The sequence below is a fragment of the Homo sapiens genome, chromosome 5 (genome assembly GCF_000001405.40).
Source record: "Homo sapiens chromosome 5, GRCh38.p14 Primary Assembly".
In the NCBI taxonomy this organism is placed as follows: domain Eukaryota; kingdom Metazoa; phylum Chordata; class Mammalia; order Primates; family Hominidae; genus Homo; species Homo sapiens.
The window spans coordinates 96127485-96141582 of NC_000005.10; the positions used below are offsets into that span (position 1 = coordinate 96127485).

Genomic DNA, 14098 nt, shown 5'->3' on the forward strand with positions numbered 1-14098 from the left:
CTCCTAGTTGTACTGATGAATTGTGAAGGAGAGAGGAGGGAAGAGCAGTTTGTTTTCATCTGTCCTTGATTGAGAAGTCCAAATATATTTTCTTTAGAGTATGCTTTATGGTCTTTCTACAGAATATTAAATTACAAGAGAAAAAAATGTTTCTTCTCTCTTTTTTTGTTCCCAATTTCCTTTAAAAATTTTTTTCCTAACAGTTTTGGAAAGCATTCTCCTTCCAAGCATTTAAAAGCTTTTTTGGCATCAAATGCTGCCAGTGTTAACACTGGCAATTGGTGCAACTTACAATAGTGCATTAAATATAAATCTAATTTTTATATCACTTGCTTAAAGTCGATTTGTGATAAACCCTGTTGGTAATGATATGAATTATATGGTATTATGAATTATTGCATGTGTGCCTCATGCGACTGAACTATATGGATGTAGGCATTTACATGTTAACTTCAGTATCACTGAAGCTCTACAGATTAATTTTTGTTGTGTCTTTGTCAGCTTTGAATAAGGTCATGATGAGTTTCTATGTCCTTGAGTTAGGTAATTTCCTGTCTGGGAAAGAGACACTGAGTAATTAAAATAAATTATTTTAAGCACTTTTTGGAATTTCAAATTAACTTCTGACATAAACCTTTCTCATCTGGATAACTTCTCAGTCTTGAGATTTTTAGTGGCATGCCCTGTTCCCTTCGTGTAATTAGAATATTGCAGGGTATTTGAGCATTTAGCAGGTTTATCAAATGTTTTGAAGCCCCCTGAGGAATACACAGAAGCATAATATTTTCTAAACTTTTCTGGTCTGTCTCTTTTTGTGAACGGGAGCGTTTATTTTGGTTTTAACTACACAGTATTTGATTTTAGTCTGATTGATGTTTCCTCGGCCCTGGACTCTGCACAGTTAGGTTTTGCTTAGAGCACTCACCTTCAGTGAGTCTAACTTTTCTCTTTGCTTCCTTAGTTCTCTAGAGACCTTTTGGCTCCTGGTTTATTTTTTATTGTTGTTCTAGGGTCTGTGCCTTTACCAAATTAGATTTTCCCCTCAATTTAACCTTGCTTTTTAAAACAGAAGGTGAAAGCGACACTATCCTCCAACCTTTCTCAACTTCAGCTGAGGTTCGCATGAGAGAAGCAAGCACTACTGAAAACGACTTCAGTAGTTGTTTTCTTGTCTCCTGAGAGTGGTACATAGGTAGTACCCTTCTGGATGCATAGAAGTGAAATTAATTCACTCCATTAACTGATGCCTCTGGACATTAGAGCTTAATTATCTTGCAGAACCCCAGTTCAGAAGGACAGTAGAACTTGGTTTAAATGGATCCCCCAAAAATGGGTGGGATGGATACTGCTTCCTCAGGGCCTACATTGCACAAGGTCATGTACAGGACATCTTAAGATGGATTATTTCATTTAATATGAGACTTCACTTGAAAAGCTGTGAAAGTAGGGCCAGTGATTGAGCTTCAGTTAGACCTTTCATTATCTTTTATTTATTTTTTAAAAGGCTTACAGGAGACCCAGGCTAAGTCAAGTATGTTGTTTTCTCTTGCAGCTGAAATGATAAATCAAAGACCTTAAGACTGAGCTACCTAGCAATAGAGACCATGTCCATTTTGCACTCTTCTCTATCCTTAGCAAATAGAATTTCTGGCCTATTACAGGTGTATGTTAAATATTTTTGTTAAAAGTCAGATGCAATCTAGACCAGATATACTGTGCATATTCATTCTTAATATCCCCCAAGACAGTTTTATATGCTTTCATTTAAAATGTATACAGATTGTAAATAGAATATGAATCTGGTTATGGTCTGGCTGAGCCCCCAGATCTTTATTAAAGTGGGTGGATAACAATTCAGAGAAGGCTAGGCTTGAGTGGATTTGTTTCATGAACCTGGTGGGTGAGAGAGGCAAGCTTCAACAAGAGGAAGTCTTGTCCTGGAAGTCTGTCACAGGAAGCTCAGATTCTCTGGTTCCTGGGCCTTTGGCTGATGCTGCACCAGGTAAATGAAGAAGGAATTACAATAGGACAGACACTTCTCATCAGGAACTGTCATGAATCACTGCTTTATTGAGAAGAAATTGTTCAGTAATATGAGGAAATTGTTCACTTTTGACATAAGAGTGATCATCAGTGGCACAGTGATGCATGAAATAAAGTATTCACTACTATTTCCCGATCCATTTAAAAATAATTTAGGCTTAAAATGACATCAGAGATATTTTTCTATATTATACATATTAAGAACAATATGACTTTGGTGAAAAGGACTCTAATAAAAACATGAAATCATTTAGAAAATGGAACAAAACTTTGACAAGTAGAAAAGTTTATGATTTCAAATACTATGAAGCTATTTCTAAAAAGTATTAATTATAATAGCATTGCCTTGATTACCTTTGTTTTTTTACCCAGAGTGTGGTATTTTGAGGCATCCCTTATAACTAATTGTACTTTGTTGAAATCGGTATGCCAACTATGTGAGATTACATACAATTCCATATGAATAAATGCACCAGGTAAGAAAACACACACACTTTTTTTTTTTTTTTTTTGAGACGGAGTCTTGCTGTCCCCTGGGCTGCAACTTTCTTCCAGAGTACCTGTGAAAAAAGGGTTAGTGGGGAAGAGTAACTTACAATGGAGAAACATAACAAACACTACCTCAGCCAAGTGATTAAGATCATCACCAACAATGCTAAGTCATGTTGATAGAATGTATCTTCAATTTGATACAATTAAAATAGCACTTCCCATAACCCCAGTCCAATATGTGAAAAAAATCAGACAAATCCCAATTTACGGATATTCTACAAAATACCTGATTAGTCCTCCTCAAAACTGTCAAGGCCATCAAAAAACAAAGAAAGTCTGAGAAATTGTCACAGCACAAAGGAGCCTAAAGACACAGAAGATGTAACATGGTCTCCTGGATGGTACTCAGGAACAGAAAAAGGACATTAGGAAAAAAAAAAAACCTAAGGATATTATCTGAATAAAATATGGACTTTAATTAACAATAAAGTATCATACTGGTTCATTAATTGTGACAAGTATACCATATTAATATGAGATGTTAAAAATAGGAGAAACTGTATGGAGGGTATTGTTCTGCAAATCTAAAGCTGTGTTAAAATTACATGTTTATTTTTTAAAATTGCACATAAAAGATTACTAATTCTAAAATATAAAATATTACAAATCGAAAAGAGAAAAACAACTCAAAGAGAGGGAAAGGCTATTTAACAGGATATCTACAAGAGAGAAAATCCAAATGACCATAAAATTTAACCAACAAACCAAAAGAAGATACTGACCTTATCTAATAAAAATTAAAACATGATACTCTTTTATAACCATCAGTTTAGCCTACAATTAAAAGAGTAAAAATATCCATTGCTTACAAGCATGCAGAAAAATGGACAATCTCCTACATCGTTGAGTGAAGTGTGATTGCTATGACCTTTTACAAAGTATGAATAATATCTATCACAATAAGAAACATACATACACCTTTATCTAGCAATTGTAGTTTCCCAATCTATCCTACAGCAATAAAAGCAGCACAATGAAAATACATATGCATTGTTACATTGTAATGTTGTAAAACAACATTTTCAGTGGTGAAAAATAGAAACAAACTTAATGGCCATCAATAGGGTAATGGTTAAATAAATTATGGTATATATAGACTGTAAAATATCATGCAGTTACTAAAAAGAGTATATGTCTATTAACCTAGAGAGATGCTATGAAGTTATTTTAAGTGATGAAAGAAAATTGTAGAGTAATATGTACAGTGTGATAGTATTTTTAAAACCCTTTCTATGTGCCTCTAAGTTTAAATATTTTTGGAAGCCTGCACAACTGGCTGTTAACATCAGTTATCACAGGAGAATGGAATGCAGCTGTAAATTTAATATCTTGTTATTATACACACACACACACACACACACACATACATACTAAAATAAAATAAAATAAAACCTCAAGCATGATTGCCGTATGTTACATTTAGCTGTGGGATGTTCAGGAAAAATAAATGGCAGAGCTGCAGCAATTGACTTACATGATTGCTGCCTAGCAGCATTTCTGTAACACAGTAAAATGAGAAGATATTCTCCTTGGGATCACCGTAACCTACTTTTTACATTAAGAGAAAAAGCACCAAGGTATTTATTTTTATCAGCGACCTACATGAGAGCAATGAGCCCAGGAAGTCTGTATTTGCTCTCATATAGGTGAGACTGCTAACTTCCTAGAAGTTGGGAAGAGTTCACACCAACTTTTGATAATTCAGAAAAATAGCATTTTAGAAAATAAAATGAAGTCCCACAAACATAAGTATCAAATCATACACAGGGAGGACCCAAAACAAGAAATTCGATTCAGGTGATGTTGGCAGCCATGGGACATGTCTGAAACCAGTTCAATCAGCAAGAGTAGCAGGGTACATTGAAAAGACACAAACCCAACTGGATAAGTCTAGAAAGCAAAAGCCAGAAAATGGAAAATGTAGTAGAACATTTCAAAACTGTTCAATTTCTTCTACACACAACATAGTCAAAGCTTTATTCAGCCACACAAAGGAAACATAGTATCTGAAGCTACTCAATCCAATCTTAAATGTATGGCTATACTTATAATCAAACACTGTTTAACAGAAGCAGTGTCAATGAGTATGTTTTGACAGAAGGGAGGGAGGGAAAGAGGGAAGCAATTAAAAGTAAAGTTGCAAAAGATAATGTTGAAAGCCTGCACTAGGGAAATAGCCATTTTTTCTTTTAAAAAATTTTATTGATACATAGCAATGGCATGTATTTATGGGGTATATGTGATATTTTGATACATTTGTACAATGCATAATGATCAAATTAGGGTAATTGAGGTATCTATCACCTCAAATATTTATTTCTTTGTGTTGAGAATATTTCAAATCTTTTCTTCTAGGTATTTTTAAAAATACAATAAATTACTGATAACTATAGTCACCTTACTGTGCTATCAAACACTCCAGCTTATTCCTTCTATCTAACTGTACTTTTGTACCCACTAAACAACCTCTCTTCATTCTCGCCCCCCATTTTTCCCAACCTCTAATAACCACAATTCTACTCTCTACCTCTATGAGATCTGTTTTGGCTCCCACATATGAGTGACAATGTGTGATAAGGAATGGCTCATCTTTAATTTGAAAGACTATGGATATAGAAAGGCAGACCTTCTTGAGTCTTCATGGACTGAGAGAACAGACAGAAGGAAAATTATATAAATATTTATAGCCAACCTGGTTAACACAGTCTTGCAAATTGAAGGAAAATATGTCCCAGCTGTAGTAAACCTATAGAATGAGAGTTTTATGAGCAATCTTGAAGCATATCCACTGGACTTTATAGTAAGTTCTCTAGACATATGAATATAAGACAAGATGCTAAAAGGAACAGATACAAAGGAATCCACATGCCAGATAAGGATATCAGTGTATTTCAGATTAGAGCTTCAGAAATATTAAGATGACAGGCAAGAGTCAGGCCTCAGAAGTGGCAAAATTACAGTGCTTTCTTTTGTAACCAAGTCTGTCACATGAAGGGTACATCTTAACTCCAAAGATGTCAGGAAGAAACAGAAAGTGTTTTAAAAGTCTTACTTACACTCAAGGCATTTGCTGAAGCAAAAGAATAAAGTAGAAAAGAATAATATGCTGTGACCAGACAAAACAAAAGTTAACATTAAGAGATTAGCAAATGTATCCACTCTGGCTTAAAGACCACTTTTGGTTCTGGTCATAGACCCCTCAAAACGCTTTGAGAAAAAAAAAAAACACACACACACATGAGTTTTCCTAGAAATGTTAAGCCTCCCTCAATGAGGTAATTTTGAGAGAAAAAGGATGTGGGGACAAGGCAGAATAATGGAAGGAGTGCTGGAACAAAAGTGAGAAACCTTAGGTTCTAGTCTTGGCTCTACCCCTGATTCACTGTGACACCCTGAGGTTTTCTGTAACATTCTTTACGACATGAGAGGGGTGAAGTATCCCATTCCAATACTTTAAGTGGTATAACTGAAATGTGTTTCATTTTGCTTTAAATGGAAATTTACTTGTGCTTATGGTTCTGAGTTTGAGCCAGTTTCCCATATTTTCCTTCTGAATAAGGCTATAATAAAATCTTCATTACAAATTTTTGTAATATTTTAAATTCTTACCTGGAACTGCAATGGTCTAGGCAAGTGTTTATAAACTTGTTTTACAATGCACTTTGATCAACAGGCTGGTTACACAAAGACTGATGTACAAAATAGAAAAGGGGGGCTGCATTGGTGAAGACGAGAAGCCAGGGTTTGGAGAACAGGAACAAGGGCTACGAAAGGTCAAGTTCTGCTCACTCAACTTCCCCACTGTGTTTTTGGAGAGGCCCCTGTGGGCTGCTACTGAAGCCCTCAGACTCCTAAGATTAACAGTGAAAGTCAAGGTTCTGTGAGAGGTTTTACCCCAAACAAGTGATGTGGGCACACATATTTGGCAACAAACGTTGAGGAACACAACTCTGTTTAAACCACCGTAAAACCTCCGTTTCTACAGTGAGGGAACTAACACCATTTGGCCTTTAGTTGGTAACAATTAATCACAAATGCCTGTAAAGGACTGAAAAGGCCGCTACAGTGCTCTGTTACAGTTTTCCAGGTTACCCCAAATGTGCTCATGTGAATTTTTTGTTTACAGAACTATTAAAATGAAAATACAAACATAAAACCAAAACCGTGTGACAACTGCAGACCCACAAGAATATGCCTTTCACCCCATAGAGTTTCTCTAACCTCTTTTTGATTAAAACTGATTTCAGAAAGGGCAATGCAATCTCCATTTTCTTTCTCAGAAGTCTTTAAGATATATATTACATCTGTGAAAAGTCGCTTTACTGAATAACTGGCACAGACTTCAATGATGAATACATCAAGAATCTCAGCTTCAGCCCAATCTGTGCCTCTACTGGGATTCAGCTGCTCCTGGGCCTTTAGGGCGACCCAAGGGATTGCTCCCACCCACAGCCCACCTGAGGCCTGTTTGCATGAGTCAATTTGTAGGAAGTCTGGTGTGGAAGCAAGAAAGGGCTACACAAAAGTCAAGATATGGGGTAGCAAGCCCTGTGGATTTCCCTAAGCCATAGGAAGAGAGAGGTGGCAGGCCAGTGGTACCTAAAGGCACAGGAGAACATCTAAATAAAGAAGTCTCTCACCCAGTCAATATTTATGGAGTGCTTACTATACATTCCATGTATTGTTCCAGGCAGTGGCAATACAGCAGTGAAAGAGCCACGGTTTTCTGCCTCTAGTAGGAAGAATAGCACATAAGTAAGTTGTAAATCTTAACAAGTGCTATGAAGGAAATAAAGAAAGCCTGTGGTAAGTGGGGACAACTTTGAATAAAATATAAAGGGAAGACCTCCACAAGGAGGGACATGGGAGCTGACAAGGAAAGATGAGAAAATGGAGTGAGAAGGAGAAAGACACTTCCAGGAAATAGCGAGAACACAAGTCCTGTGGCAGGAGAAAGCTTGGCACTTGCAGGGACCAGAAGGCCGGCAGCATAGTGGGAGCCTATTGAGAGTGGGTGGTACAGCAGGACAGGCCAGGTTCCCTCCCACACCATAAGGGTTTGCATTCAATCCTCAAAGCTATGGAAACCCACGGGATGACTTTAAACAAATAATTTATTTTACTTACTGCTTTAAAATATCACTCTGCTGTGAAAGGATGGAGTATACAAAGCAAGAGTGTGTAAAGGGAAAATAGAATTATCTTAAAGTCAGCCAGGAAGAAAATGATGGTGTCTGGGACCAGGGGTGGCAGTGAGAATGAGACAAGAAAATAGTTTCAAAGTTTATTTTGGAAATAGAATTGCTGATGGGTTGGTTATGGGAGGTAATGGAAAAGGCAAAATCAAGAATGACTCCTAGGTTTTAGCTTAAGTAATTGGATGTATGGTGGTGGTTTAGGTAAGGGGTAAGGGAGAAGTTAGCACAATCTTAGGAGAATAATATGAGATGTTGACTAATATTAACCAAACATTAGCTGGAGATTTCTAACTCTTAAGATCTAGGTAGGACAACCTTGAGATCTCAGATCTATAGCCTGGGAAAGAGTAGATTCCAAGATTTCTCTTTTTTCCCAAGGGCTTAGGATCTCACCATTGTCTTGTGTTTCTGCCTTCTGTGTCCTCACCTCCAACCTCCATTCATCCCTCTCAGCCTTTTCCCTATTTTCTTTTTCTTTATTTTAAAAATGTGTATATGAGGCCAGGCATAGTGGCTCATGCCTGTAATCCCAGCACTTTGGGAGGCTGAGGTGGGCAGATCATGAGGTCAAGAGATAGAGACCATCCTGGCCAACCAACATGGTGAAACCCCATCTCTACTAAAAATACAAAAATTACCTGAGCGTAGTGGCACACACCTGTAGTCCCAGCTACTCGGGAGACTGAGGCAGGAGAATCGCTTGAACCTGGGAGGCGGAGGTTGTGGTGAGCCGAGATCACACCACTGCACTCTGTGTGTAGCCCAAACACTTAAAGAATGGAGAGTTATGCTCAACCTCTTTTTGAGGGTCCAATGTCTACGTAAATTATTTGTAATTCTTCTCTCAGTGAGATTGTTTGTTCTCTTCTCCCCTATTTATGTATTTCTTCAATCACTTATTTTTGTCAATAAGTGCTGTAGAGCAGTGGATGTTAATTTTATATTTTGGGTTCTAATTTGATATTATGTTATTTATTTTAGTGTTCCTCCTTCACCCCACTTATTAACTAGAAGAAATTTTTTCAGTTCGCTCCTGTCTCCTGTGCCCATTTGACATAATTGCACCTCTTTTGTTTTGTTTTGTTTTGTTTTGTTTTTGAGCACTTCCTTAGCTTTCTGGGACTAAAGATACTCCAGGCTCAACTTGCATATTTTCTGTCCCAGTTCTAGAATCAGCCACTTCTCCAAGGAGCCCTGGTTCCTCTTGTTGGATACTGTATTAGAAAACAAACAAGCTAACATTTGGACACTAGATATGCCTGCTGCTGTGGCAGTGTCATTGCCTCAAGGCCACCTCAGCTGATAAAACAAGGAAATGTATCTATATATACATATATGAATATATTTTTCTATATGTAACCATCTGTCTATATTATGCTCAATATGAGTTTATACTAACATCCACAATGCTAATTTATTACTACCTGTGTAATTCTAGCCTCTTCCTCTTGCTCATCTGTAATCTCCCTCCAACAATGAGAAAAACTGGCTTTCCTCAGCTGTCATTCATTTTTTAATTTGTTGCATTATATATATGATATCAGAATTGTTAACCCATACTCGCAGGGGAAACAACTTTATCAACAAGAGTTCAATATTTATGACAGTTTTTTTGCCTTTAGTCTTACATATTCCACTTACTTCCGAAGCTATTTGGGTTAGCACTTTTTGTCCCCACTCCTTTCTGTGAAGTTGTTTCATAATTTTTTAATACAGTTAGACTGCTTTGTCACATTCTGCAGGCTATCCTGGTATCCTTTGAGCTCCTAAATTATATTTTTAAATTTTCATACCTTAAGGTTTACCCTTTGTGCTGTAAAGGTTTGGACCAACTCTCATGTATCTGCCATTTCAGTAATACAGAGGATAGTTTCAATGATCTGGAATATCTCTGGTGCTTCAGTTGTATGAGCCCCCTAACCACTGATCTTTTTATCTTCTCACTACTTTTGTCTTTTACAGAATGTGACATAATTGGAATCATAGAGTAAGTCTTCTCAGACTGGTATCTTTCACTTAGCCATGTGTATATAAGATTAATACATGTCTTTTCATGGGTTTATAGCTCATTTTTTTATTGCTCAATAATATTCCATTATATGGATATATTGCAGTTTGCTTATCCATTCATTTATTGAAGGATTTCTTACCATCTTCCAGATTTTGCTGATTATAAATACAACTTCTGAAAACATTCATGCTCAGGTTTTTGCATGGACATAAATTGTCAATTAGGTAGATACCTAGGAGTGCAATTATCAGATCATATGGTAAGACCATATTTACCTTTGTAAAAAGCTGCCAAAATGTCTTCCAAAGTGGTTGTACCCATCAGCAATGAATGAGAATTCATATTGTTTTGCATCCTTGCTAGCAATAGGCATCATCAGTTTTTAGATTTTTAACTATTCTAGTAGATATATAGTGGTATCTTGTTGTTTTAATTTGTGACTTCCTAATGACAAATTATGTTGAGCAATTTTTCATATATTTATTTGCTATCTGTATATAATCTTTGGTGAGGTGTCTGTTCAGATCTTTTGTCTGTTTTTTAGTTGGTCTGTTTTCCTATTGTTGATTTTTAAGTGTTCTTTCTATATTTTGAATTTAAGTCCTTTATCAAATACATATTTGCAGTTTTTTTTCTCCCAGTAGTGGCTTGTCTTTTCATTTTCGTAACAGTGTCTTTCACAGAGCACACATTTTTAACTTTAACAAAGTCCAACTTATGAATTTCTCCCTTCATAGGTTGTGCTTTTGGTGTTATAAATGAAGTTCATCATTAAACCCAAGAACACAGGTATTTTCCTATGTTTTCTTTTAGAAGTGTTATAATTTTGAATGTTACATTTAAGTCTGGGATCCAGTTGAATTAATTTTATGAAAGGTATGACGTATGAATTTAGGTTCTTTTTTTTCTTTTAACATATGGTTATCTAACTGTTTCAGCACCATTTATTGAAAAGACAATCCTTTTTTTCATTGAATTGCCTTTGCTTCTTCCTCAAAGATAAAATGATCATATTTATGTAGGTCTATTTCTGTACTCTCTATTCTGTTGCATTGTCTATTATTTTTGTAATAACACATTGTCTTGATCTCTATAGCTTTATATTAAGGCTTTATATTAAGTCCTCCAACACTGTTCTTCTTCTTTAGTTATTGTGGTGGCAATTCTAGGTCTTTTGCCTTACCATATACACTGTAGAGTCAGTTTTTCAATAGAGACGAAATACCTTGCTGGGATTCTGGTTGGGGTTGCTTTAAAGTTACAGGCCAAGTTGGGAAGAATTGATACCTTAACAATGTGTGTTTTAATTCATAAACACAATATTTCTCCATTTATTTAGATGGTTTTTATTTCTTTCATCAGAATTTCATATTTTTTGATATATAGATTTTGTATATATACATAAGTATTTTATTTTATTTTTTGGGTGCTATTTTAAATGGTATTATTTTTTAAGCTTCAGATTCCAATTGTTCATTGCTTTTATACAGAAAAAGAATTGGACTTGCTTATTAGTTCCAGGAATTTTGTTGTTATTGTTGTTTCTTTGGGATTTTCTACATGGACAATCATTGCTATTTGTAAATACAGTTTTATTTCCTCATTTATAATTTGTTTATTTTTTATTTCCTATTTTTGTCTTATTGCACAAACTAGGACTTCTGGTACAATGCTTAAAGGAGTGGTGAGAGGAGGCATCCTCACCTTGCACCTAATTTAAAGGAGAAAGTGTCCAGATTTTCACCTATATGTATGAAGTGAGCTGTGGGTCTTCTGTAGAAGTTCTTTATAATTTTCAGGAAGTTCTCCTCTATTCCTGGTTTGCTGTATGTCATCTATTTTGCAAATATCATTCCCATTCTATAATTTCTCTTTATATTTTATTTGATTTCTTGCCATATCTACATTTTATGCTTATTTAGTTTAATAATCTCCATTCTCTAAGATCTTCCTATATAAAGTCTCATATAAACTTCAAGCTCCTTTTATCACTACCTCTTGCATTCTCCCTTTATTTCTCTCTCCAATGCCTAAGACTTCCTAGTGTTTTAGGGCTTAGTGTCTAGGAGTCAGCATTTTCTGGGTTCAATTCCTAGATCTCCACTTACTAGTTACCTAATCTTGGAAAATTTAACCTCTCTGAGTTTTAGTTTTCTCCTCTGAAAAAGTTGGGGTAGTATAGCTTTCTCACAATGTCCTTGTAACATATATATATACACATATATATATGTGTATATATATACATATATATATGTATATGTATATATATGTGTGTGTGTGCTTAACAAGTCGTTGCTGTTATGTTTATTTTTTATGAAGAAAGTTGCTGTATTTTTTTCATTCTGGAAAGCATTAAGATGACATAATCAGTTTTGTGGCATATCTGGGGAACAAAAGTGGCCAGGATATAGCTCCATTTATGCGACTATTTTCTTCTGTAAGTAGATAATTATCTTTGTCATATTCTAGGTCCGACCATGTTATGTCACTGTTATAAATAATATTCCCCTTCTAATTACTAATTTTGACCTGAACAATAGAAGTGGTATTAAATTTTTATTGCAGTAAAACTTTAAGAGGGTGGGAGGGCAAACTCTCATCAGACATAAATAAAATGTGGCTAGAACCTAGAAAGTTGATTGCTTAAATGCTTTACATCCATTGCAAGGAATAAAAAGGGTTACTAGTACACAAAAGAAAAGTCTTAGTGTACCATTATTTCATATTGATATTCAAATGGAGTTTGTAGTTCAGCACACACAGTTGGCTGTGGAGAAGTTGATGATGGCTGTTCTTCTTTGTCACAGTAGTCATTTTGTATTTCTTAGATTGACATCCTAAATTAGGAACCACTTGGCTAGAAATAGCTAGGGTTCTACTGGGGAGAGGATTTAATTGGGAATATGCTCTTGGAACTTCTGAATTTGAAGAAGTGTGGTTGTTGAAAGCATATCAAGTATTTGGAAAGTAATATTTGCCAACCATGTGAAATCAACATTATTCCTGGGCTGGAGATTGAGCTATTTGGGTGCCAGGAACCCGTTGTTTCTCTTGCTTTAAATTGCTTAACCTTTCTTGATTTCTTCAGATATAAAAGTTATCATACTTTTCATTATTTAGATCACAGAATCTTGTGAGAACAGAATAGAATAATGCAGGTCTAAGATTCTTCATTTGCTTTCATTACTTATAGGCTGAAATCTCAATTCTTTTGGCAAACTCATGGTGGCTGAAAGCACGGTTTTTAGAGTTAGATAAATGCTCTGAGCCCAGATTCTGACTCTGCCACACACAGCTATGGCCTTGGACAGTTTACTTGACCTCTCCAATCTTCAAATTTCTTACTTATAAAATGGAGATAATGATAATCTCTTCCTGAGTTGGTTGGTGCGAGAGTTATGTTGGGTAATGTATTTACAGTGTAAGCACAGCACTTCATGCATTATCTGTGTTCAGCAGTGATAGCTGCTGGTATCCTCATCACCATGACACATAAGGCCTTTGTTACCTGGTCTTTCCAACTTCATCTGGCATCATTACCCCTATCAATTTATCCTTGTTCATCCTGAATATATTTCTCTATTGTAACACTCCTCACTCTATTGTAACACTCCTTACCTCCTGACTTTTATTCACCATTACACTGTGTCTTTTTGATGTTAGAAATGTTACCTTATTCATAGCTGGATCTTCTTTAGTTAACATATAGTGGGATTGCCGCCAGTTAACTCGAGAAAATTATGCATAGAATTAAACTAATATAGGGATAATCATAAATATGTAGGAATTTGTCAGATAAATGTATATTCATTATACATTCAGATAAATGTATATTCATTATACATTAATGATTCACTGCATTCATAATTCAGTGAATGATAATTCCTATGTATGTAATACATCTTAAACTGGTGGCCAATGGGCCAAATTAAGTATATTGACCTGTTTTGTTTGGATTTTTGATGTTAAAATAAATCAGGAGACTTTACAACAAACATCTGAATTTCTGGCTTCTCTTGAGAAGGTTAGCGAGCTGGCAACACTAAACCTCCATCGCATAGAAATGGTTGGCATTCTCCAATTAGATTCGTTTTCTACTCAAATGATAAGTAACATAGACACCTCACACTAGTGGCTTTTTGTGTGGCCACCAGCTAAAAGTTCATCCTTTCCCCCAGAAAAAAACAATTTGATAAATGCAGAATAGGGAATTGCATTCCTCTTTACTTATTCCCAGATGGGTGGGGTATAACTGCTCTACCTGAAGGAGCAAACGCGGACACCCACACCATGC

General features: G+C 35.7%; 1 protein-coding gene and 1 long non-coding RNA gene across 14 annotated transcripts in view; both read left to right on the forward strand.

Annotated features, from left to right (window-relative positions):
- Positions 1 to 14098, forward strand: part of CAST (calpastatin) — an 813255-nt gene that overhangs the window by 166056 nt on the left and 633101 nt on the right. Inside the window, exon 3 of one of the 13 annotated variants that reach the window (NM_001423258.1) lies at positions 10542 to 10593. The exons of the other annotated variants lie outside the window; for them this stretch is intronic. The gene's annotated coding sequence lies outside the window, so the exon portion shown is untranslated. The remainder of the gene's footprint in view (positions 1 to 10541; positions 10594 to 14098) is intronic. 13 annotated transcript variants of the gene reach the window in all.
- Positions 1 to 14098, forward strand: part of LOC101929710 (uncharacterized) — a 669085-nt gene that overhangs the window by 165484 nt on the left and 489503 nt on the right. The gene's annotated exons all lie outside the window — the stretch shown is intronic.